This window comes from Homo sapiens, chromosome 19 (assembly GCF_000001405.40).
Source record: "Homo sapiens chromosome 19, GRCh38.p14 Primary Assembly".
Taxonomy (NCBI): domain Eukaryota; kingdom Metazoa; phylum Chordata; class Mammalia; order Primates; family Hominidae; genus Homo; species Homo sapiens.
Genome location: NC_000019.10, coordinates 48,812,978 through 48,838,294, shown reverse-complemented (window position 1 = coordinate 48,838,294; position 25,317 = coordinate 48,812,978). Strand labels below are relative to the sequence as shown.

The window sequence follows — 25,317 nt, the reverse complement described above, 5'->3', positions numbered from 1 at the left end:
TTAATTTATTTAAAAATGTACAATTAAATTATTATTGACTATAGTCATTCTGTTGTGCTATCTAATAGTAGGTCTTATTCATCCTTTTCTTTTTGTACCAATTAACCATCCCCCACCTCTCCCCCATGTACACACCCCCACCCCCAATCTTCTTTTTTTTTCTAGTCCAAGGAACACCACCCCTTACTTGCCGACTTCCGAAGGTCACCGGGAGCGGGTTCTCAGCCTCTCCCAAGCCCTGGCTACTGAGGCGTCGCAGTGGCACAGAATGATGACAGGTGACTGGCTGGGGATGTTGGACTTCTGGGTTTTAGGGAGGAGAGAGCTGGAGACCTGGAATCCCAGGTCCTGGAGAGGAGGGGTCTGGGGGCCGGTGAGAATTTTTTATCTTGGTGAGTAAAGAGTTGGGCAGGGTTTGGGAGTTTTAGGTCTCAGGCAAGAGGTGACTGGGGTCCGGGACACTTGGGAGGAGGGGAGGAAGAGGTCAGGGGGCGGGGAGAGGGCCGACAACTGAGTCTCAAAGAGGACTGGACTGGCGTATCCAGACTCCTGGATCTGAGGGAGGAGGGGCTGGGGGCCTGGACTCCTGGGTCTGAGGGAGGAGGGGCTGGGGGCCTGGACTCCTGGGTCTGATGGAGGAGGGGCTGGGAATCCGGAGTCCTGGGTCTGAGGGAGGAGGGGCTGGGAATCCGGGGTCCTAGCGCTGAGGTTTGCCATTCTCATGTCCCACTCATCCTCTCCAGGTGGAAATTTGGACTCCCAGGGAGACCCTCTTCCCGGTGTGCCGCTGCCTCCTTCGGACCCCACGCGCCAGGAGACCCCTCCCCCCAGATCTCCCCCGGTGGCTAATTCGGGTTCCACGGGGTTCTCTCGCCGAGGGAGTGGGCGTGGAGGAGGTCCCACCCCCTGGGGGCCCGCGTGGGATGCCGGGATCGCCCCTCCGGTCCTGCCACAAGACGAGGGGGCATGGCCTCTGCGAGTCACTCTGCTACAATCCAGCTTCTAATCCGCCCAAAAGCGGCAGCCAATCGGAGCGCGAGGACGTGGTCTGGAGGTACCGCCGGAGATCTGGGACCACTCAGGGCATCAGGGGGCGTGGTCTGGTCCCCATTGCGGGCCCGGGAGGGGAATGGTTTCTATGGCCAAAGTTTGGTTTTCTCAACACTGTCTAAATTTGGATTAAAACTTTGAACTTTTAGTCAATAGCTTTCTTTCTGTCTGTCTGGGGTTGTGGCACTGGTGTCTCTGAGGGGCAGAGCTGGAGTCGTGGACTCCTGGGTCCTGAGAGAGGAAGGGACAGGGGGCTTGGACTTATAGGTCTCTGGGAAGAAGGGATAGAGAACCTGATCCCTCGGTCTGAGAGTGGAGGGGGCTGGGCCAGGATTCCCGGGTCTGAGGGAGGAAGGGGTGGGACCCTGACTCCTGGGTCTGAGGGAGGAGGGACTGGGAGGCTGGACTCCCGGGTCTGAGGGAGGAGGGGCTGGGACCCTGACTCCTGGGTCTGAGGGAGGAGGGGCTGGGAGGCTGGACTCCCGGGTCTGAGGGAGGAGGGGCTGGGAGGCTGGACTCCCGAGTCTGAGGGAGGAGGGGCTGGGGGCCTGGACTCCCGAGTCTGAGGGAGGAGGGACTGAGGCTTCTGGATTCCTGGGTCTGTGGGAGGAGGGACTGGGGCTCCTGGATTCCTGGGTCTGTGGGAAGAGAGGAGTGTCTGAGGGAGGAGGGGCTGGGGACAAACTTCCAGGTCTCTAGCCTTCCTGGCAACGCCCCCCGAGGCCGGACTTCCAGGATCCAGCCTCTATTGAGGATTTGATGCGACGGCCTCACGGGGCTTTGGAGGTGAAAGAGGCCCAGAGTAGAGAGAGAGAGAGACCGACGTACACGGGATGGCTACGGGAACGCGCTATGCCGGGAAGGTGGTGGTCGTGACCGGGGGCGGGCGCGGCATCGGAGCTGGGATCGTGCGCGCCTTCGGTGAGCCGGGTCTGACTGCTGGGAGCTGTGGAGTGTGAGAAAGGAAGGATGGGGGCGGGGTGATGGGGGCGGAAAATAGGGACTCCAGTACTGCAGCCAGGATTCTGATATTATAAAAGCCAATTTGCAGGCTAAAGTAAGCGTGTGGCGCTGTAGGCTAGGGCTGAGTCTGGCAGGGTCTCCGAAGGCAGTGGCCCCTTTCTCTGGGTCTGTTGGTGTAGCTACAAAACCAGTGGTTTGAGGAATGGCTCTGTCAGTCGTGGAGTTTGCTCCGGAAGCCACGAACGGGGGTTCAGGAGCCTCAGCAGAAACAAGGCAAGGAGAGTATGTGTCAAGGCGTCTGCCCTCTGTCCTATGGGTGATCATGAGACTGGGGTCACGAGGGGAGAGGGAGATCAGCCCCAATCCAGGTGGCCACAAGAGGGCGGCAGAGGCTTTAACCAAGGCTCGGAGAGTAACCTGTTCCCTTCCTATTCTCAGTGAACAGCGGGGCCCGAGTGGTTATCTGCGACAAGGATGGTGAGTGACGGTCCCTCAGCCCTCACCTTGGCCCTTCCTCCCTCAGACCCAGAGGTCCAGACCCCTAGCACCTCCTCCCTCAGACCCCGGAGTCCAGGCCCCCAGGCCCTACTTCCTCAGACCCAGGAGTCCAGACCTCAGCCCCTCCTCCCTCAGACCTAGGAGTCCAGGCCCCCAGCCCCTCTGCCCTCAGACCCAGGAGTCCAGGTCCCCAGCCCCTCCTCCCTCAGACCCAGAAGTCCAGGCTCCGGCACCTCCTCCCTCAGACCCAGGAATCCAAGTCCCCAACCCCTCCTCCTTCAGACCCAGGGGTCCAGGCTCCCAGCCCCTCTTCCCTCAGACCCAGGAGTCCAGGCTCTGGCACCTCCTCCCTCAGACCCAGGAGTCCAGGCCCCCAGGCCCTACTTTCTCAGACCCAGGAGTCCAGACCTCAGCCCCTCCTCCCTCAGACCCAGGAGTCCAGGCTCCCAGCCCCTCCTCCCTCAGACCCAGGAGTCCAGGCCCCCATCCCCTCCTCCCTCAGACCCAGGAGTCCAGGCCCCCAGCCCCTCCTCCCTCAGACCCAGGAGTCCAGGCTCCCAGCACCTCCTCCCTCAGACCCAGGAGTCCAGGCCCCCAGGCCCTACTTCCTCGGACCCAGGAGTCCAGACCTCAGCCCCTCCTCCCTCAGACCCAGGAGTCCAGGCCCCCAGCCCCTCCTCCCTCAGACCCAGGAGTCCAGGCTCCCAGCACCTCCTCCCTCAGACCCAGGAGTCCAGGCCCCCAGGCCCTACTTCCTCGGACCCAGGAGTCCAGACCTCAGCCCCTCCTCCCTCAGACCCAGGAGTCCAGGCCCCCAGCCCCTCCTCCCTCAGACCCAGGAGTCCAGGCTCCCAGCCCTTCCTCCCTCAGACCCAGGAGTCCAGGCCCCCAGGCCCTACTTCCTCGGACCCAGGAGTCCAGACCTCAGCCCCTCCTCCCTCAGACCCAGGAGTCCAGGCCCCCAGCCCCTCCTCCCTCAGACCCAGGAGTCCAGGCTCCCAGCCCCTCCTCCCTCAGACCCAGGAGTCCAGGCTCCCAGCCCCTCCTCCCTCAGACCCAGGAGTCCAGGCTCCCAGCCCTTCCTCCCTCAGACCCAGGAGTCCAGGCCCCCAGGCCCTACTTCCTCGGACCCAGGAGTCCAGGCTCCCAGCCCTTCCTCCCTCAGACCCAGGAGTCCAGGCCCCCAGGCCCTACTTCCTCGGACCCAGGAGTCCAGGCTCCCAGCCCTTCCTCCCTCAGACCCAGGAGTCCAGGCCCCCAGGCCCTACTTCCTCAGACCCAGGAGTCCAGACCTCAGCCCCTCCTCCCTCAGACCCAGGAGTCCAGGCCCCCAGCACCTCCTCCCTCAGACCCAGGAGTCCAAGTCCCCAACCCCTCCTCCCTGAGACCCAGGGGTCCAGGCTCCCAGCTCTTCTCTCCCTGCAGAGTCTGGGGGCCGGGCCCTGGAGCAGGAGCTCCCTGGAGCTGTCTTTATCCTCTGTGATGTGACTCAGGAAGATGATGTGAAGGTAAGCCGAGTTCCTGTTCCTACCCCCATCTCCGCTAATGACCAGTTCTTTGTTCTCCTCCAGCCATTTGCATATGCCTTTCCCTCTACTTTTCCTTCCTCTCCTGGCTCCGCTGGACTCGTCAAAGGTTTCCACCCAGTGTCACTCCACACACAAGGTCTTCTGTGACTGATGGGCAGGTCACATGTTCCTTCTGTCACACCTCTCCAAGGCTCTTAGCACATTTAACATGTGGATGGAAATGAATAAGTCCCTCAAAGTGGGTCAACTGGAACTGATTTTTCTGTCTCTTTTTTTTGTAAGTGTCACTGAGGCTGGAGTGCAGTGGTGTGATCTCGGCTCACTGCAACCTCAGCCTACCGAGTTCAAGCCATTCTCCTATCTCAGCCTCCCGAGTAGCTGGGATTACAGGTGTGCGCCACCATGCCCGGCTAATTTTTTTTTTTTTTAAGACAGAGTTTCGCTCCTGTTGCCCAGGCTGGAGTGCAATGGTGTGATCTCGGCTCACCGCAACCTCTGCCTCCCAGCTTCAAGTGATTCTCCTCTCTCAGCCTCCCGAGTAGCTGAGATTTCAGGCATGTGCCACCACACCTGGCTAATTTTGTATTTTTAGTAGAGACGGTGTTTCTCCATGTTGGTCAGGCTGGTCTCGAACTCCCAACCTCAGATGATCCGCCCGCCTCAGCCTCCCAAAGTGCTGGGATTACAAGCATGAGCCACCGTGTCTGGCTAATTTTTGTAGTTTTAGTAGAGACAGGGTTTCACCATGTTGGCCAGGCTGGTCTCGAACTCCTGACCTCAGGTGATCCGCCCACCTCAGCCTCCCAAAGTGTTGGGATTACAGGTGTGAGCCACTGCACGTGGCCTGTATGTAACTGATTTTTTCTCCATTATTTCTGGGTTCCTATTTCTTCCTTTTAATCAGTATCTCTCTGTTATCTGCCCCCCTTGGGCAACTGTCCCCTACGCGCTCTCTGAATCCTTGTCACCCCCCTGCCCCACCCCCTGACCCTGGGTGTGACGACTGCAGTGTGGCTCTGACCAGCCCCCTGTCTCCTTCCTGTCTCCTGCTTGCCTGCTGTGTCTGCTGATCTCGGAGTCCCCTCTTCCTCTAGCTCTTGTCCCCTGACCTGGGAGTTCAGCTTCCCCCTCCTGCCTTGCATTTGGGAGCCCTGTCTTCTTTATGGCTGGACACCCCATCTACTGCTCATTCAAAGGACATTTCCTGGGCTGGGCGTGGTACCTGTAATTCCAGCACTTTGGGAGGCTGAGGCGGGTGGATCACTTGAGCTCAGGAGTTTGAGACCAGCCTGGCTAACCTAGTGAATCCCTGTCTCTACTAAAAAGTACAAAAATTAGCCGGGCGTGGTGGCAGTCGCCTGTAATCCCAGCTACTTGGGAGGCTGAGGTAGGAGAGTTGCTTGAACGCAGGAGGCTGAAGTTGCAGTGAGCCAAGATCGTGCCAATGCACTCCAGCCTGAGTGACAAGAGGGAGACACCGTCTCCAAAAAAAAAAAACAAAGGACATTTCCTTTCTCCTCAGACCCTGGTTTCTGAGACCATCCGCCGATTTGGCCGCCTGGATTGTGTTGTCAACAACGCTGGCCACCGTGAGTTGTGAGACCCCAGGGCCATTCTCCACCTCCTGCCCCCCAACTCTGTTTCCTGCACGTCAGTTTCCCCACTCCCTGCCCCTGATTCCCTCATCCTGCCTCATACCTCTTTCTAGCCACTTGGACAGGAGAGTAAAGCAATGGAAGCCCCCCAGGCCTGTGCTGAAACTGTGGCCCTGTTCCATCCCTCCTGTGTGTCCCCAGGGCTGTGCCCTCACTTGGCCATGTCTCTCTTCTTTTCTTTTCTTTTTTCTTCTCTTCTCTTCTTTCTTTTCTTTTTTTTTCAGATGGAGTCGCACTCTGTCGTCCAGGCTGGAGTGCAGTGGTGTGATCTCAGCTCACTGCAACCTCTGCCTCTTGGGTTCAAGCGATTCTCCTGCCTCAGCCTCCCAAGTAGCTGGGATTACAGGCGCCCACCAGCACGCCAGGCTAATTTTTATATTTTTAGTAGAGATGGGGTTCATCATGTTAGCCAGGCTGGTCTTGAACTCCTGACCTCAGATGATCTGCCCACCTCGGCCTCCCCAAATGCTGGGATTACAGGCATGAGCCACTGCACCCGGCTTTTTTTTTTTTTTTTTTTCTGAGATGGGGTCTCACTCTGTCGCCCAGGCTGGAGTGCAGTGGCTCGATCTAGGCTCACTGCAACCTGCACCTCCCAGGTTCAAGCAATTCTCCTGCCTCAGCCTCCTGAGTAGCTGGGAATATAGGCACCCGCCACCACACCCAGCTAATTTTTGTATTTTTCGTAGAGACAGGGTTTTGCCCTGTCAGCCAGGTTGGTCTTGAACTCCTGACCTCATGATCCGCCTGCCTCAGCCTCCCAAAGTGCTGGGATTACAGGCGTGGGCAACTGTGTCCAGCCCCCGTCACTTTTCCTCTCTCTCTCACCCCCCACTTTAGACCCACCCCCACAGAGGCCTGAGGAGACCTCTGCCCAGGGATTCCGCCAGCTGCTGGAGCTGAACCTACTGGGGACGTACACCTTGACCAAGGTGAGGGCTGGCGACCCTGCCGCCAGGCCCGAGCAGCCTCCTGATAGGTGGATTGTGTGATGCATTTTGTCTAAGAGCAAAATGTTTTCCGTTCTTTTTATTTGTTTGTTTGTTGGAGACAGGGTCTCTCTCTGTCGCCCAGGCTGGAGGACAGTGGTGTGATCTCAGCTCACTGCAACCTCCACCTCCTGGGTTCAAGCGATTCTCGTGCCTCAGCCTCCTGAGTAACTGGGATTACAGGTGCGGGCCACAAAACCAGCTAAATTTCATAATTTTTGGTAGCTATGCTTCTGACTGCAAGTGATCTGCCTGCCTTGGCCTTCCAAAGTGCTGGGATTACAGACTTGAGTCACCACGCCTGGCCATCTATTTTCTGTTATTTAGTTTAATCTCCTTATTCCAAAAGGAAGATAAATGACTGCGAATCTCTACATCCAGCAAATCTACCTTTGTAGCTACATAGCCCAGTCTTAGGAACCTTCTAGAACCTTCCAGACTGGTGGTGGTAGGAGGGGATGTTAAGAACATATTGGGGCCAGACACAGTGGCTCACACCTTTAATCCCAGTGCTTTGGGAGGTCCTTGTGGGAGGTTCACTTGAGGTCAGGAGTTCAAGACAGCTGGGGCAATACAGCGAAACCCCCCATCTCTACAAAAAGTTTAAAAAATTAGGCGTAGTGGTGCCCTTGTAGTCCCAGCTACTCAGGTGGCTGAGGTGGGAGGATCGTTTGAGCCCAGGAAGTCAAGGCTGCCATGAGCTATGTACACACCACTGCATACAGCCTGGGCAACATTGCAAGATGCTGTCTCAAAAATAAATAAATAAATAAATAAATAAATAAATAGGCCAGGTCCAGTAGCTCACAGCTGTAATCCCAGCACTTTGGGAGGCCGAGGCAAGAGGATCCCTTAAGCCCAGGAATTCGAGACTAGCCTGGGCAACATAGTGAAACCCTCGTCTCTACAAAAAATACGGAAATTACCTGAGCATGGTGGTGCGCCTCAGGTACTTGGGAGGCTGAGGCGGGAGGATTGCTTTGTTGTAACCGAGCGAGTTATAGAGAAACGCCACACTCTGAGACAAGATCAGGAGTCCTTTATTAGCCGGCAGCCCAGAGACGGCTAGCGCTCAAAATTCTCTCGGCCCCGAAGAAGGGGCTAGATTTTCTTTTATACTTTGGTTTAGAAAGGGGAGGGGGGAGTCTAGTTAAAACAATCTTACAGAAGTAAAGCAGGCAAAAAAAGTTAGAAAGATAAATGGTTACAGGAAAGCAGACAGTTCCAGGTGCAGGGGCTTTAAACACATCCCAAGGTGATAGACGCTGGACGTTGGGCGCTATCAACCAGACAGAAACGCGGGGGCTTAGGGTACTATTAATCGGGCGACTGCCTGGGAACTGCGGATATAACTTGCCACAGTATCTTATCAGTAATTGCATTCTTTGATGTGCTGGGAGTCAGCTTGCACAAGTTAAGTCCTTGAAGAAAGGGGGGTTGGGTTAAGGGGCTGCAAGTGAAGGAGCCAGGATGGAGTCTGTCTGGCTCGCTCACCTAAGGGAGAGTCAATTCAGGTTAAAACAAGGTTAGGGTATCACAGCTTGAGCCCAGGAGGCGGAGGTTGCAGTGAGCTGAGATCGTGCAACTGCACTCCAGCCTAGGTGACAGAGTGAGACCTTGTCTCAAAAAAAAAATAATTCATTAATTAATTTTTAAAAAGAGCATGGAGTCCAGGCATGGTGGCTTACGCCTGTAATCCCAGCACTTTGGGAGGCCGAGGCAGGCGGATCACCTGAGGTCGGGAGTTTGAGACCAGCCTGACCAACATGGAGAAACCCCATCTCTATTAAAAATACAAAATTAGCCGGGTGTGGTGGCACATGCCTATAATCCCAGCTACTCAGGAGGCTGAGGCAGGAGAATCACTTGAACCTGGGAGGCAGAGGTTGCAGTGAGCTGAGATCGTGCCATTGCACTCCAGCCTGGGCAATAAGAGCGGAAACTCCGTCTCACAAAAAAAAAAAAAAAAAAAAAAGCCAGGCCTGGTAGCTCATGCCTGTAATCCTGGCACTTTGGGAGGCCAAGGCGGACAGATCACTTGAGGTCAGGAGTCCAACATGGTGAAACCCCATCTCTACTAAAAATACAAAAATTAGCTGTGCGTGGTGGCAGGTGCCTGTAATCCCAGCTACTCAAGAGGCTGAGGCGGTAGAATTGCTTGAACCTGGGAGGTGGAGGTTGCAGTGAGCTGAGATTGTGCCACTACACTCCAGCCTGGGTGACAGAGTGAAACTCTTTCTCAGAAAAAAAAAAAAAATTAGCTGAGTATGGTGGTGCTCCTGTAATCCCAGCTACACGGGAGGCTGAGGTGAGAGGATCACTTCAACCTGGGAGCTGGAGGCTGCAGTGAGCCGTGATTGTGCCACTGCACTCCAGCCTGGGCAACAGAGCGAGTCCTTGTCTTAAACAAGAATTGGGGGAGAGCTGGGGAGGGAATGAGAAAGAAAACAAACTTTTTTATCTGAGAAAGGAGAGCCCCTTTAGATGATCAGGATCAGGCCCAGAGGGGCTTTTTAACAACTTTTTTAAAAATTAATTAATTTATTTTTTGAGACAGAGTCTTACTCTGTCACCCAGGCTGGAGTACAGTGGCACAATCTCGGCTCACTGCAACCTCTGCCTCCCAGGTTTAAGCAATTCTCTGCCTCAGCCTCCCTAGTGGCTGGGATTATAGGCACTCACCACCACGCCTGGCTAATTTTTTTGTATTTTTAGTAGAGACGAGGTTTCACCATGTTGGCCAGGCTGGTCTTGAACTCCTGACCCCGTGATCCACCCACCTCAGCCTCCCAAAGTGCTGGGATTACAGGCATGAGCCACTGTGCCTGGCCTTTTTATTTTTTAATAGAGGTGGGGTTTCACTATGTTGTCCAGGCTGGTCTCAAACTCTTGGGCTCAAGTGATTCTCCTGCCTCAGCCTTTCAAACTCCTGGGATTACAGGTGTGAGCCACCGCACCTGGCTCAGAGGGACTTTATAAAAATGTATTTTAATTACTTTTTGAGACAGGGACTCACTCTGTTGCCCAGGCTGGAGTACCATCATAGCTCACAGCAGCCTCGAACCCCTGGGCTCAAGTGATCCTCTTGTATCAGCCTCCTGAGCAGCTGGGACCACAGGGGTGCACCACTATGACTGACTAATTTTTAACTTTTTTGTAGAGACAGGGTCTTTCTATGCTGCTCAGGCTGGTCTCGAACTCCTTGCCTCAAGCTGGGATTACAGGCATGAGCTACTGCACCCATCCAATAATTACCTTTTGAGGCTACTTGGTTTCTGGACTCTAGACGACCTGATACCAAGTAGCTCTAGAGTGTCACACACTCTATAGTTCAAACATGTATAGCCAATCACTAATCAATGTGATGTCTGTAAACCAATGACAATTCCTGATGAACAACTTTTGTAATCACCGCCTCTCTTGATTCGTCCTTTTTTCTTTAAAAAGTTGAGCCTTTGGCCGGGCGCGGCACCTCATGCCTGTAATCCCAGCACTTTGGGAGGCCGAGGCCGGCGGATCACGAGGTCAGGAGATCGAGACCATCTTGGCTAACGCGGTGAAACCCCGTCTCTACTAAAAATACAAAAAATTAGCTGGGCGCGGTGGCGGGCTCCTGTAGTCCCAGCTACTTGGGAGGCTGAGGCAGGAGAATGGCGTGAACCCGGGAGGCGGAGGTTGCAGTGAGCCGAGATTGCATCACTGCACTCCAGCCTGGGCAATAGAGCGAGACTCCGTCTCAAAAAAAAAAAAAGAAAAAAAAAAGGAAGGAGAAGGGTTGGTCACGGTGGCTCACACCTGTAATCCCAGCACTTTGGGATGCCAAGGCGGGTGGATCACTCATCAGGAGTTCAAGACCAGCCTGTCCAATATGGTGAGACCCCGTCTCTACTAAAAATACACAAAAAATTAGCTGGGCATGGTGGTGAGCACCTGTAATCCCAATTCCTCGTGAGGCTGAGGCAGGAGAATTGCTGGAACCTGGGAGATGGAGGTTGCAGTGAGCTGAGATTGCACCACTGCACTCCAGCCTGGGCAACAGAGCAAGACTCTATCTAAAAAAAAACGAAGGAGAAGAACACACATCAAAGCCTTTCCCTCACCCTTGCTTATGCAACAGCTGCACACAAACATCCACTCTCCATAACATCTTTATTCTCCGCATAGCACTTTTTAATTAATTAACTCAACAAATAGTTATATAGCACCAGCAACATGCGGAGCCCTGCGCATACAGCTATGAACACACAACAGAAGAAAATCCCTGTCCTTGCCAGGCACGGTGGCTCATGTCTTTGTAATCCCAGCACTTTGGGAGGCTAAGGCGGGCAGATCATGAGGTCAGGAGTTCGAGACCAGCCTGGCCAACATGGTGAAACTCCGTCTCTACTAAAAATACAAAAATTAGCCAGGCGTGGTGGTGGGCGCCTGTAATCCCAGCTTCTTATGAGGCTGAGGCAGGACAATCTCATGAACCCAGGAGGCAGAGGTTGAGGTGAGCTGAGATCACACCACTGCACTCCAGCCTGGGCGACAGAGCGAGACTCCATCTCAAAAAAAAAAAAAAAGTGGGGTTTTAGGTTTGTTCTCCCCACCTCCAGCAACTGAGCAACTGACCGGACAGAGCTGCCATTCACTGTGGCAGGAAAGCCTGGCGGGGGCGCTGTTGAACATGAACTGCCTGGTGGACGTCCTGGTGGGAATGGGCATTGGGCATGAGATCGTGGAGGTGGGGCTCTGGAGATACCAGCTTGCAGCTGACCAGTTTGAGGCTGGAGGAACTCAGGGGAGCAAGAGTAGGCAAAGAGGGGAGAGGCCTGGGGGCGGGCCCAGTGTCCAGGGAGCTTCAGGTGCTGACTCTGAGGTCGCATCCAAGATCCAGGTGAAATGTTCCCGGGAGGTTGGGCAATCCCCTGCTTAACCAGTGAACCCTGGCTCCTGTTCCAAATTTGTGTTGACTTTCTAGGATTAACCCAACACTAAAAACACCTCCACACATAAAACACACCTACACCTCAGCCCATGAAGAGTTAATATATGTGTGTGTGTGTGTGTGTGTGTGTGTGTGTGTATATATATATATATTTTCTTCTTTTCTTTTACTTTTTTTTTTTTTTTTTTTGAGACAATCTTGCTCCATCACCCAGGCTGGAGTGCAGTGGCAGGATCTCGGCTCACCACAACCTTGACTACCTGGGCTCAATAAATTCTCCTGCCTCAGCCTCCCGAGGACCTGAGACTACAGGTGCCCACCACTACGCCCAGCTGATTTTTGTATTTTTTGTAGAGTTGGGGGTCTCACTATGTTGTTCAGGCAGGTCTCAAACTCCTGAGCTATAGCGGTCTGCCTGCCTCGGCCACCCAAAGTGCTCGGATTACAGGCGTAAGCCACCATGTCCGGCCTATCTTTTTTCATTCATTGCCAACATTTCACAAGGCAGATTTCACATAAACCACCACATTTCTTGTTTCTCTTAGAAAGTTGGTCAAGTTGGGCTGGGCACGGTGGCTCACGCCTGTAATCCCAGCACTTTGGGAGGCTGAGGCGGGCGGATCCCGAGGTCAGGAGATCGAGACCATCCTGGCTAACACGGTGAAACCCCATCTCTACTAAAAATACAAAAAAATAGCTGTGCGCGGTGGCGGGTGCCTGTAGTCCCAGCTACTCGGGAGGCTGAGGTGGGAGAATGGCGTGAACCCAGGAGGCGGAGCTTGCAGTGAGCCGAGATCGCGCCACTGCACTCCAGCCTGGGTGACAGAGCAAGACTCCATCTCAAAATAAATAAATAAATAAAGTTGGTCAAGTTGGTCAACAGGACCTGCGGGGCAGGGAGGCAGAAATAACAAGTGGCTTGTTTGCCTAAATTCTCTGCCACTTCTTACCTGCAACGTCATGCAAGTTACGCAACATTTCTGCTCCTCTGTTTTCTCACCTGTGAAATGGGGCCAATTGTGACAGAGTTGTTCTGAGGATTTAATGAGATTAGATTAAATACCCATGAAACTCTTATCAATATTTATCATGCTGCAATCTCAGCACTTCGGGAGGCTGAGGTGGGAAAATCACTTGAGCTCAGGAGCTCAAGACCAGCCTGGGCAACATAGCACCAGACCCCATCTCAACCAAAAATAAACAAAATTAGCCAGATAGGGTGGCACACATCTGTAGTCGCAGCTACTCAAGAGGCTGAGGAGGATCACTTGAGCCCAGGAGGTTGAGGCTGTAGTGAGCTATGATTGTGCCGCTGCATTCCAGCCTGGGCAACAGAGTAAGAACTTGTCTCAAACAAAACAAAGCAAGAATAACTTGCTCTACCCGTTGACTCCTGCCCCCCACCACCACCCAGATCATACAATTTTTTTTTTTTTTTTTTTTGCGACGGAGTCTCGCTCTATCGCCCAGGCTGGAGTGCAGTGGCACCATCTCAGCTCATGGCAACCTCCACCTGCTGGGTTCAAGTGATTCTCCTGCCTCACCCTCCCAAATAGCTGGGACTACAGGCACACGCCACCACACCTGGCTAATTTTTGTATTTTTAGTAGAGATGAGGTTTCATCATGTTGGCCAGGCTGGTCTGGAACTCCTGACCTCAAGTGATCCGCCTGCCTCGGCCTCCCAAAGTGCTGGGAGGCGTGAGCCACCGCACCCAGCCCAGATCATACAATTTTATCAGTAGGAACTTCATGCGTACCATACCACCAGTGTATTAGAATGCTTTTTATTTTTATTTTGACATAATTTAAGACTTACAAAATATTCCTAGAATAGTACAGATAATTCATGTGTACTGAAACTCCCCATTGTTCTTTTCTTTTCTTTCTTTCTTTCTTTCTTTTTTTTTTTGTCTTTCTTTAGAGTCTTGCTCTGTCGCCAGGCTGGCATGCAGTGACACGATCTCAGCTCACTGCAATCTCTGCCTCCCGGGTTCAAGCTATTCTCCTGCCTCAGCCTCCCGAGTAGCTGGGATTACAGGCACGCACCACTACACCGGGCTAATTTTTTTTTTAGTAGAGGCAGGGTTTCACCATGTTGGCCAGGATGATCTCAATCTCCTGACCTCGTGATCCGCCTGCTTCAGCCTCCCAAAGTGCTGGGATTACAGGTGTGAGCCACTGCGCCCGGCCCTTTCTTTCTTTCTCTCTTTCTTCCTTCCTCCCTCCCTCCCTTTTTTCTTTCCTTCTTTCCTCCTTTCCTTGTCTTCCCAGCTGGTGAGCAGTGGTGCCATCACAGCTCACTGCAGCCTTGAACTCTTGGGCTCAAGGGATCCTCCCACCTCATCCTCTCAGCCCGCCGAGTAGCTGGGACTACAGATACATGCCACAGCACCCGACTAATTTTTTTTTTTTTTAGTTTCAGTAGAGAGGAGGTCTTGCTATGTTGCCCAGGCTGGAGTGCAATGGCATGATCTTGGCTCACTGCAACCTCTGCCTTCCTGGGTTCAAGCCATTCTCCTGCCTCAGCCTACCAAGTAGCTGGACTACAGACATGTACCACCATGCCCGGCTAATTTTTGTATTTTTAGGAGAGACAGGGTTTCACCATGTTGGCCAGGCTGGTCTTGAACTCTTGACCTCAAGTGATCTGCCCGCCTCGGCCTCCCAAAGTGCTGGGATTACAGGTGTGACCCACCATGCCTGGCCTCAATGTTAAACATTTTTAAAAAAGAAAAATAGACCGGATGCAGTGGCTCATGCCTGTAATCCCAGCACTTTGGGAGGCCTAGGCGGGCGGATTGCCTGAGGTCAGGAGTTCAAGACCAGCCTGGCTAACATGGTGAAACCACGTCTCTACTGAAAATACAAAAAAAATTAGCGGGGCAGGGTGGCGCATACCTGTAATCCCAGCTACTCGGGAGGCTGAGGCAGGAGAATCACTTGGACCCAGGGAGGTGGAGGTTGCAGTGGGCTGAAATTGCACCACTGTACTCCAGCCTGGGCAACAGAGCAAGACTCAGTCTCAAAAAAAAAAAGAAAGAAAAAAGAAAAGAAAAATATAGTAGTATAATAAATACCTATATGCCCATCATTTGTATTAGCATTAATTCACATTTTGTACACCATATATATGTGTCTGTATATACATAAATGTATATATTTCTTTTTGTCAAAGTATTATAAAGTATATTACGACACAATGACAGTTCATTTCCAAACACGTTAGTAAGCATCTCCTAAAAATAAAGCATTATTATTATTATTATTTTGAGATAGTGTCTTGCTCTGTCACCCAGGCTGGAGTGCAGTGAAATGATCATGGCTCACTGCAGTCCCGACTTCCTAGGCTCAAGTGATCCTCCTACCTCAGCCTCTCAGGTTGCTGGGACAACAGACATGCACCACCACGCCCAGCCAATCTTTTATTTTTTTGTAGAGACAGAGTCTCACCATTTTGTCCAGGCTCAGGCCTTTTTTACATAACAAAAATACCATTATATCACCTAATACAATTAACAGAAATGTCTTGATACCATCTCATATTTAACTCTATTTAAATACACCCAGAAGTTCCCAAATGTTTTATTACAGCTGATTTGTTCACACCAGGATCCCGACAACATTTGCATATTGCCTTTGTTTTCCCTGAGGGCAAAGACTTTTGTCTGCTTGTTCATGCACTTGTTGCAAAGGAATCTTGTGAACACTTGTGTCGCTGCCATTATCACCATCGTTATTTCCATCACCATCATTACCATTGTTACCACCCTCACCATCATTCTCACCGTCATCCTCACCATCACCATTTTCACCATCACCACCATCACCATCAACACCATCTTCACCACCATCATTACCATCCCCAACCTCACCATCATCATCGTCACCATCATTACCACCATCATCACCATCAACACTGTCATTACCACAATCATCACCATCACCATCAATGACAGCATCACCATCAATGACAGCATCACCATCATTGCCACCATCATCACCACCATCATCATCACCATCATTACCACAATCATCATCACCATCACCACCATCATCATTACCACAATCATCACCATCACCATCCTCATCATCATCACCACTGTCATTACTAAAATTTACCATCACCAACATCACCACCATCATTACCACAGTCATCACCATCACCATCGTCATTACCACAATCATCACCATCACCATTACCACCGTCATCACCATCCTCACCATCATCACCACCATCACTACAATTACCATCACCATCATCACCACCATCATTACCACAATCATCACCATCACCATCAACAACATCAGCATCACCATCATTGCCACCATCATCACCACCATCATCACCATCACCATCATTGCCACAATCATCACCATCACCACCATCACCATCCTCATCATCATCACCACCGTCATTACTAAAATTTACCATCACCAACATCACCACCATCATTACCATCCCCAACCTCACCATCATCATCATCACCATCATTACCACCATCATCACCATCAACACTGTCATTACCACAATCATCACCATCACCATCAACATCAGCATCACCATCATTGCCACCATCATCACCACCATCATCACCATCACCATTGTTACCACAATCATCACCATCATCACCACAATCATCACCATCACCACCATCACCATCCTCACCAGTATCACCATCATCATCACCATTACCACAATCATCACCATCATTACCACAATCGTAACCATCATTACCACGTCACCATCCTCACCAACATCACCATTATCATCATCACCATCATCATTACCAAAATCACCATCATGATCATCACTATCATTATCATCATCATCCTCACCATCATCACCATCTTCACCATCACCGTCACCATCATCATCACTACGATCATCAGCATCTTCACCGTCATCCTTATCATCATCCTCATCACCATCCTCACCATCACCATCCTCATCACCACCATACTCACCATCACCATCATGACCACCATTATCATCATCACCATCATCATCATTATCACTATCATCACCATCATCACCATCACCATCAAAATCCCATAGAAGCTCTCTTTTTTTCTCTTCTCTCTCAGCCACGTGACTTTGGAAGCTCTTTAAATGTTGATTCTGGGGCCCCTGCCCAGATCCCTTGAATTAGAATCTCCAGGTCTTTGGCCTTCCTGGTGGATTCTGATACAAGCCAAAGTTTGTGACTCCCTAGGCTAGGGAAAACAAGGGCGGGATTAAGGATATTTAGATAGTCAAGGAAATTATATTTTGTGGGCAGTAGGGATCCACAGAAGGTGTTGAACACAGGGGTTTCAGTTGTAGTCTCTCAGAGCTGGATTGTTCCTTAAAGATCTATCCATTCTGAGGCCAGGCGCGGTGGCTCATGCCTGTAATCCCAGCACTTTGGGAGGCCAAGGCGGGTGGATCACGAGGTCGGGAGATCGAGACCATCCTGGCTAACATGGTGAAACCCCGTCTCTACTAAAAAATACAAAAAATTAGCTGGGCGTGGTAGCGGGCGCCTGTAGTCCCACCTACTCAGGAGGCTGAGATGGGAGAATAGAGTGAACCTGGGAGGCAGAGGTTGCAGTAAGCTGAGATCGCGCCACTGCACTCCAGCCTGGGTGACAGAGTGAGACTCTGTCAAAAAAAAAAAAAAAAAAATCTATCCATCCTGGCTGGGTGGGGTGGCTCACGCCTGTAATCCTAGCATTTTGGGAGGCCCAAGCAGGCAGATCACAAGGTCAGGGGTTTGAGACCAGCCTGGCCAATATGGTGAAAACCTGTCTCTACTTATTTATTTTTTTTTATTTTTGTCTTTTTTTTTCTTACTTTTTGTGGAGAATGGGGTCTCGCCATATTGCCCAGGCAGGTCTCGAACTCCTGGGCTCAAGCTATCCTCCCGCCTCTGCCTCCCTGAGAGCTGGGATTACAGATGTGAGCCACTGCGCCCGGCCGAAACCCTGTCTATACTAAAAAATTATAAAAATTAGCCGGGCATGGTGGTAATCCCAGCTACTCGGGAGGCTGAGGCAGGAGAATTGCTTGAACCTGGGAGGCGGAGGTAGCAGTGAGCCAAGATTGCGCCACTGCACTCCAGCCTGGGCAAGACAGAGCGAGACTCCATCTCAAAAAAAAAAAAAATCTATCCATTCAGTCCTCTATTTAGTCAAGTACTGACCAAGCCAGGCAACATTCTTTTATTTTGGAGATGGTGTCTCACTCTTTCACCCAGGCTGGAGTGCAGTGGTGCAATCTCGGCTCACTGCAATCTCCACCTCCCAGGTTCAAGCAGTTCTCATGTCTCAGCCTCCCAAGTAGCTGGGATTACAGGTATGTGCCACCACGCCTGGCTAATGTATTTTTAGCAGAGACAGGGTTTCACCATATTGGTCAGGCTGGTCTCGAACTCTTGACCTTAGGTGATCCACCTGCCTTGGCCTCCCAAAATGCTGGGATTACAGGCGGGAGCCACTGCACCCAGCCTCAGGCAACGTTCTTTTTCGGTTTGTTTTTTGTTAGAGATCGGGTCTTGCTGTGTTGCCCATGCTGGAGTGCCATGGTGTGATCATAGTTCATTGAAGCCCTGACCTACCAGGCTCAAGTAATCCTCCCACCTCAGCCTCCCGAAAACCTGGGACCATAAACGCACACCACTATGCCTGGCTAATTTTTGTATTTTTGTTGAGATGGCTGCGAGGGAGTCTCACCATGTTGTCCAGACTGGTCTCAAACTCCTTGGGCTCAAGTGATCCTCCCACTTCAGCCTCCCCAGATGCTGGGATTACAGGCGTGAGCCACCACACCTGGCCCTGGCAGTGTTATAGGTGCTGGAGATAGGGCAGGGAGCCAGGTACATGTAGGCTCTGTCCTTGGGGAGTTTACAGTCCTGGGCAGCCAGGTCTTCCTAAACAGAGACATGAGTTCAGAAGAGTGTGTTTTGCTTTATGAGGGGGATGGGTGTGGTTCTGGGAGAGTGTGACCTGGAGGCTGGCCCGTTCAGGGAATGTAGCCAAACTTCCTGGAAGTAATGAAATCTGAGCAGCATTGACCAGTGGAGGAGGTGGAGAAAGAGATGGCAGGGCGAGGGCCTGGCAGCGAGACAGGGTTTGGTGCTGCTGCCAGCTGGGCCCAGTGAGAGAACGGGATGTTGCAAGAAGAGATTGGGGTGGGAACCAGATCAGGCAGGGCCTTGAAGGGCATGCTGAATCATCTGGTCTTTATGTCAAGAGCAATAGGGAGCTGTGGCAGGTATTTGAGCAAGGGAGTGATGTGATCCTGTTAGTATTATTAACAGATCATAGGCTCTGGCTCCTGTAGGTATGAGGGACAAATCTGAGGGTTAAGCGTGAGAGTGGGAGAACCAGTATTAGGAGTTGATTGCATTTGAGCTGGGCATGGTGGCTCACGCCTGTAATCCCAGCACTTTGGGAGGCCGAGGTGGGCAGGTTGCCTGAGGTCAGGAGTTCGAAACCAGTCTGGCCAACATGGAGAAACCCCGTTGCTACTAAAAATACAAAAATTAGCCAGGCGTGGTGGTAGGCGCCCGTAATCCCAGCTACTCGGGAGGCTGAGGCAGAAGAATTGCTTGAACCTGGGAGGTGGAGGTTGCAGTGAGCCGAGATCGTGCCACTGCACTCAAGCCTGGGTGACAGAGCAATACTCTGTCTCTGAAACAAACAAACAAAAAAAGGAGTTGATTGCATTTGTCCAAGGGAGAAGTGGGGGCCTTCAAGGCCTCGTGATCTGGCCCCTGTTCTTCTCTGACCTCACCTCCGGCCACACTGGCCTCATTGCTCCCAAACACAACAGGCCTGCTCCTGTCTCAGAACCTTGGCACTTAAGAACTGGGGTCTCAGTATGTTGCCCAGGCTGGCCTTGAACTTCTGGACTGAAGCGATCCTCCCACCTCAGTCTCCCAAAGCACTGACATTACAGGTACCTGCCACTGCACCTGGCCCCCAGCGGGTCCTTGATATAGAGCAGGTGCTTAGCAACCTTGAGGGGTGTGGGGAGAAGGACACTCAGGGAGTGTGGGACAAATATTTACTGAGCTCCAGCTGTGTGCCTCGTGCTGGGGTGAGGGTGGCAAGATCCGTGTCTCAGCCCTGGTGAGACTCATGTTTGCAGGGTCAGGTGGGGGAGGAGATTAAACAGCAGGGCAGGTGCACAGACTGAGAGAGAAATGGAGCAAGGCAGGTGGGGTGGGCACTGGGAGGGAGGGAGGGTGTCACGGCTGGTGGGAGTGAGAGGAGGCGAGGATGAGAGGTTCCCTGAGGAGGAGGGCAGAGGCTGGTCAATGCCCACATCATTCACGTTCATATTAGAGCATGGTTTCTCTTTTTCTTTTTTCTTTTTTCTTTTTTTTTGAGACAGTCTTTATCTGCTGCCCAGGCTGGAGTGCAGTGGTGCGATTGTGGCTTACTGCAACCTCTGCCTCCCGGGATCAAGAGATTCTCCTGCCTCAGCCTCCCGAGTAGCTGGGATTACAGGCACGCACCACCACACCCGGCTAATTTTTGTATTTTTAGTAGAGATGGGGTTTTGCCATGTTGACCAGTCTGGTCTTGAACTCCTGACCTCAGGTGACTGCCCGCCTCAGCCTCCCAAAGTTCTAGGATTACAGGTGTGAGCCACTGTGCCTGGCCTAAAGTTCTTAATACTTAGAATTGTGAGAAATTGTTGTTTGTTTATGGGTTTGGGTCTCAGCCTGTCCAGCAGCAAATGCTGGTGCTGTCAGGTGTCACGTGATGCCCTGCGGGCGTCAATCATCCCTCCATTCCTTAGTCTCCTCGCTTGTGAAATGGGACTCTCAGCTGTACCTCCTTCTTGTAGGTACAGGAGAATGTTAGAGGGATGAAATGAGCTAATCCATGTAAATTGCTGAGGACAGGGCTGGACACATACCAGGTCCTCCATTCATTCATTAATTCACCCATTCATTCATTCAAAGGATATTTATGAAGCATGTGCTATGTGCCAGGCACCTTTAGTGCTGGGGAAGAAACAAAATAAGAAATCTTGACCATCCCTCATAGGTTTCTGCATGCTGGTGGGAGAGACAGAACATGAACAAACAAGTAAAATATATATGGCCTGTCAGAAGGGAGTGTGTGACACAGAGAAAAGACATCTGAAAGAGGGAAGGGGACCCAGGGGTGTGGGAACTGCAGTTTTATTTTATTATTTTATTTTTTGGGGCCAGGCGTGGTGGCTGACGCCTGTAATCCCAGCACTTTGGGAGGCCGAAGCAGGCAGATTACTTGACCTCAGGAGTTCAAGACCAGCCTGGCTAACATGGTGAAACCCCATCTCTACTAAAAAATACAAAAATTAGCCAGGCATGGTGACACATGCCTGTAGTCCCAGCTACTCAGGAGACTGAGGCAGGAGAAGGGCTTGAACCTGGGGGGAGGAGGTTGCAGTGAGCCAAGATGACATCACTGCACTCCAGCCTGGGCAACAGAGTGAGACTCTGTCTCAAAAAATAAAACAAAAAATATTTTTTTGTTGTTAAAAAAAATAAAGACAGGCCAGGCACAGTGGCTCAAGCCTGGAATCCCAGCACTTTGGGAGGCCGAGCCAGGCAGATCATGTGAGATCAGGAGTTCGAGACCAGCCTGGCTAATATAGTGAAACCCTGTCTCCACTAAAAAAAAAAAAAAAAAAAAAAAATTATCCTGGTGTGGGGGCACATGCCTGTAGTCCCAGCTACTCGGGAAGCCGAGGCAGGAGAATTGCTTGAACCTGGGAAGTGGAGGTTGCAATGAGCTGAGATTGCACCACTGCATTCCAGCCTAGACAACAGAGTGATACCCTATCTGAAAGAAAGAGAGAGAGAGAGAGAAAGAAAAGAAAGAAAGAAAGAAAGAAAGAAAGAAAGAAAGAAAGAAAGAAAAAGGGTCTTGCTAAGCTGCCCATGCTGGCCTCAAACACCTGGGTTCAAGCAATCCTCCCTCCTCGGCTTCCCAAAGTGCAAGGATTACAGGTGTGAGCTAGTGATCCTGGCTTGCAGCTTTAAACAGTATAGCCAGGGAAGACCTCACTGAGGAGGTGACCTCGGATCAGGGTTTGAGGGAGCTGAGGGAGTGTTTACCCAGGAAAGTCCCCGTTTAGCATTGACACTGTGGACTGAAAATACCATGTCCCCAAAAACCCTTCAGTCCTGGGCAAACTGGGATGGCTGGCCACCCTAAGAGTGGGTCATGTGGCTCTCTTAGGAAAAGGCACTCCAGGCAGAGGGAACAGCAAGTTCAAAGGCCCTGAGGTTTGAACACGCAGGGTGTGTCGAAGATACAGCACGGAAAAGGGTGGAGGTCGTTTGGGAGGGGAGCAGAAATGGCTTGAAAGAGTTGGTGGGGGGAACCGGGCAGGGAGCTCATTTAGATTCCCACTCGGAGAGCCTGCTAGGGGTGCTGCCTTGTACCAATTAGTCTTAAGTGGCAGGGACAGGCCTTGCCTGGCCAGCTCAGCTTTCTAAGGCAAGCGAGATCAAAGATAGAATTTGAGTTTATCCAAGGTCATGTGTAGTCAACGAACACACACGCACACACACAGAGAGAGTATTTAGGGACTTCCCAGGTGGCCAGGGAGTTGAATTGCAGGAGAAACGGTGGCAGGAAACAGTGCATTTCTTTTTTTTTTTTTTTTTTTTTCTGAAACGGAGTCTTGCTCTGTTGCCCAGGCTCGAGTGCAGTAGCGCAATCTTGGCTCACTGCAACCTCCACCTCCCGGGTTCAAGTAGTTCTCCTGCCTCAGCCTCCCAAGTAGCTGAGATTACAGGAATGCACCACCATGCCTGGCTAATTTTGTATTTTTAGTAGAGATGGGGTTTCATCATGTTGGCCAGGCTGGTCTCAAAATTCTGACCTCAGATGATCCACCCACCTCAGCCTCCCAAAGTGCTGGGATTACAGGTGTGAGACACTGTGCCTGGTCTAGAGTGCCTTTCATGAAGGCCTCATAGAAACCATCTCCCCCTCCATGGATAAAAGAACTTCCTGGCTGGGTGTGATGCCTCGTGCCTGTAATCCCAACACTTTGGGAGGCCGAGCGGGGAGGATTGCTTGAGCCCAGGAGTTCGAGGCTGCAGTGAGCTATGATCGTGCCACTGCAGTCCAGCCTGGGCCACAGAGACTTCACCGGAAAATAACTTCATCCCATTTTTGAAAAATATGCAGCCTTCTGGATCTCTCATCCATTTTCCTGTCTTGATATGGACAGGAATTTGAGTAACATACAAAGACCAAGGGAGAAGGGACAGAGGTAGAGACAAAGACAGAGTCAGAGACCGAGGAGAAGAGAGAGAAATCCCTTCCCACCAAGGAGAGACTCCTTGAGTGCTGAGACCCAGCGACCCCAGGGCAAACCAGAGAGGGTGTTATGTTAGATGCCGTCTCTAGCAGTCACTGAGATCAACTAGAAACATGCCAGGGAGGTGGCCGTCATCCCAGACATCAGGATGGCTGTGGCTGTGTTTCAGTGGTCTGCGAAGATGCAGGGCTTGTGTAGCTTACTTGGCCTCTTGTCTCCCTAGCTCGCCCTCCCCTACCTGCGGAAGAGTCAAGGGAATGTCATCAACATCTCCAGCCTGGTGGGGGCAATCGGCCAGGCCCAGGCAGTTCCCTATGTGGCCACCAAGGTATGGCAGCCCCTACCCCTTCCTTCCCTCCCTACTCCTTCCCATGGGCCTTGGCTTTGAGTCCAGACAACTTAGGAGCCAGACCTAGCAAGATCTTGGCCCTAGAAAGTCTCACACCTAACTCCCAGATGCAGCACCCAGGCATAACTGCCTGTGACAGATTTCTGTTTTTTCTTTTCTTTTCTTTTTTTTTTTTTAAAGATGGAGTCTCGCTCTGTCACCAGGCTGGAGTTCAGTGGTGCAATCTCAGCTGCAACCTCTGCCTCCTGGGTTCAAGGGATTCTCCTGACTCAGCCTCCCGAGTAGCTGGGACTACAGGCGCATGCCACCGCACCCAGCTAATTTTTTTTGTATTTTTTAGTAGAGACGGGGTTTCACCATGTTAGCCAGGATGGTCTCGATCTTCTGACTTCATGATCTGCCTGCCTTGGCCTCCCAAAGTGCTGGGATTACAGGCATGAGCCACCGCACCCAGCAGATTTCTGTTTTTTCTTTTCTTTCTTTCTTTTTTTTTGAGATGGAGTTTCGCTCTTATTGCCCAGGTTGGAGTGCAATGGTGTGATCTTGGCTCACTGCAACCTCCGCCTCCCGGGTTCAAGTGATTCTCCTGCCTCAGCCTCCCAAGTAGCTGAGATTACAGGTGGCTGTCACCACGCCCAGCTAGATTTTTGTATTTTTTAGTAGAGACGAGATTTCACCATGTTGGTCAGGCTGGTCTCGAACTCCCGACCTCAGGTGATCCACCCACCTCGGCCTCCCAAAGTGCTGGGATTACAGGCATGAGCCACTGTGCCCGGCTAACTTTCTTTTTTTCTTTTCTTTTCTTTTCTTCTTTTTTTTTTTAGATAGGGTCTCACTCTGTCACCCAGGTTGCAGTGTGGTGGCATGATCTCAGCTCACTGCAACCCCTGCCTCATGGGTTCAAGCGATTCTCACGCCTCAGCCTCCCCAGTAGCTGGGATTACAGGCGTGCACCACCATGTCCGGTTAATTTTTGTATTTTTAGCAGAGATGGGGTTTTGCCATGTTGGCCAGGCTGGTCTCGAACTCCTGGCCCAAGTGATCCACCCATCCCGGCCTCCCAAAGTGCTGGGATTACAGGTGTGAGCCACTGCACCTGGCCTTCCTGTGACAGATTTCTATGCCAAGTTTCTCCCAAGAAACCAAGCCTGGTGCCTCTGAAGGCAGCCTTCAAGGAGGGCATGACTTCCCCATTCTGATGCCCCCCTGGCTGGCAGGAGACAATGGATGGCAGGGACCCCATGTCCCGGGGACTGAACTTTCTTCCCCGCTCCATTTCCTGCAGGGGGCAGTAACAGCCATGACCAAAGCTTTGGCCCTGGATGAAAGTCCATATGGTGTCCGAGTCAACTGGTGAGCTGCTCTGAGCAGGCGGAGAGCCTCCTGGGGGGACTGGGGTGACTGGGAGTGATCCCAAGTGGTTCGAGACAGATTGCTTTGATCCCCCCTCTCCCTTCCTCTAGTATCTCCCCAGGAAACATCTGGACCCCGCTGTGGGAGGAGCTGGCAGCCTTAATGCCAGACCCTAGGGCCACAATCCGAGAGGGCATGCTGGCCCAGGTAGAAGTGGGGTTCAGATCCAGGTGGTAGAAGGTGGCATGGGGGTGGGGGGCATGGCGATCAAGTGGGGCTCCTCTTGACCTCCTTCCCCCCTCTTTTCTCCCCAGCCACTGGGCCGCATGGGCCAGCCCGCTGAGGTCGGGGCTGCGGCAGTGTTCCTGGCCTCCGAAGCCAACTTCTGCACGGGCATTGAACTGCTCGTGACGGGGGGTGCAGAGCTGGGGTACGGGTGCAAGGCCAGTCGGAGCACCCCCGTGGACGCCCCCGATATCCCTTCCTGATTTCTCTCATTTCTACTTGGGGCCCCCTTCCTAGGACTCTCCCACCCCAAACTCCAACCTGTATCAGATGCAGCCCCCAAGCCCTTAGACTCTAAGCCCAGTTAGCAAGGTGCCGGGTCACCCTGCAGGTTCCCATAAAAACGATTTGCAGCCAGAAGGAGGAGGATATCGTTATATTTATTTCCCATCCTTTAGAC

The 25,317-nt window shown here is 52.0% G+C and overlaps 2 protein-coding genes across 15 annotated transcripts in view, besides 3 other annotated features; both read left to right on the top strand.

The window, feature by feature from the left end:
• PLEKHA4 (pleckstrin homology domain containing A4) overlaps window positions 1–1,198 on the top strand; it is a 31,521-nt gene extending 30,323 nt beyond the window's left edge. For 10 of the 12 annotated variants that reach the window (XM_047439136.1, NM_001438308.1, XM_011527158.4 and 7 more), the window contains 2 exons: window positions 166–278; window positions 744–1,198. In XM_047439136.1, the coding sequence (XP_047295092.1) occupies window positions 166–278; window positions 744–1,006 (376 nt within the window). In that variant the 3' untranslated portion in view covers window positions 1,007–1,198. Of the gene's footprint in view, window positions 1–165; window positions 279–743 lie in introns of those variants that run through there. The other 2 variants (XM_047439138.1, XM_047439137.1) reach the window with 1 other exon arrangement.
• Window positions 827–896: a silencer, noted in NCBI's record as "silent region_10904". NCBI's record gives its function as "represses an Ori minimal core promoter by ATAC-STARR-seq in GM12878 lymphoblastoid cells {active_cell/tissue: GM12878}" and the evidence as "EXISTENCE:reporter gene assay evidence [ECO:0000049][PMID:35858748]".
• On the top strand, window positions 1,804–25,277 carry HSD17B14 (hydroxysteroid 17-beta dehydrogenase 14). Of its 3 annotated transcripts, NM_016246.3 has the most exons (9): window positions 1,804–1,971; window positions 2,452–2,490; window positions 3,937–4,019; window positions 5,563–5,629; window positions 6,536–6,627; window positions 23,154–23,258; window positions 24,565–24,632; window positions 24,743–24,839; window positions 24,947–25,277. In NM_016246.3, exons 1-9 carry the CDS (start codon window positions 1,884–1,886, stop codon window positions 25,118–25,120), a joined length of 813 nt encoding a protein of 270 aa, NP_057330.2. In that variant the 5' UTR covers window positions 1,804–1,883; the 3' UTR covers window positions 25,121–25,277. The 3 variants fall into 3 exon arrangements, with proteins under 3 accessions (NP_057330.2, XP_005259026.1, XP_047294853.1); XM_005258969.5 differs by lacking the exon at window positions 24,743–24,839; XM_047438897.1 differs by lacking the exons at window positions 6,536–6,627; window positions 24,947–25,277 and having other exon boundaries at window positions 24,743–24,835.
• Window positions 18,347–18,867: a transcriptional cis regulatory region, noted in NCBI's record as "genic|chr19:49322685-49323205 region (GRCh37/hg19 assembly coordinates) targeted for CRISPR interference". NCBI's record gives its function as "negatively regulates FTL gene expression in K562 cells {active_cell/tissue: K562}" and the evidence as "EXISTENCE:mutant phenotype evidence [ECO:0000015][PMID:31784727]".
• Window positions 24,424–25,035: an enhancer, noted in NCBI's record as "H3K4me1 hESC enhancer chr19:49316517-49317128 (GRCh37/hg19 assembly coordinates)". NCBI's record gives its function as "activates a minimal SCP1, AML or CMV promoter by ChIP-STARR-seq in primed H9 embryonic stem cells {active_cell/tissue: H9 hESC(primed)}" and the evidence as "EXISTENCE:reporter gene assay evidence [ECO:0000049][PMID:30033119]".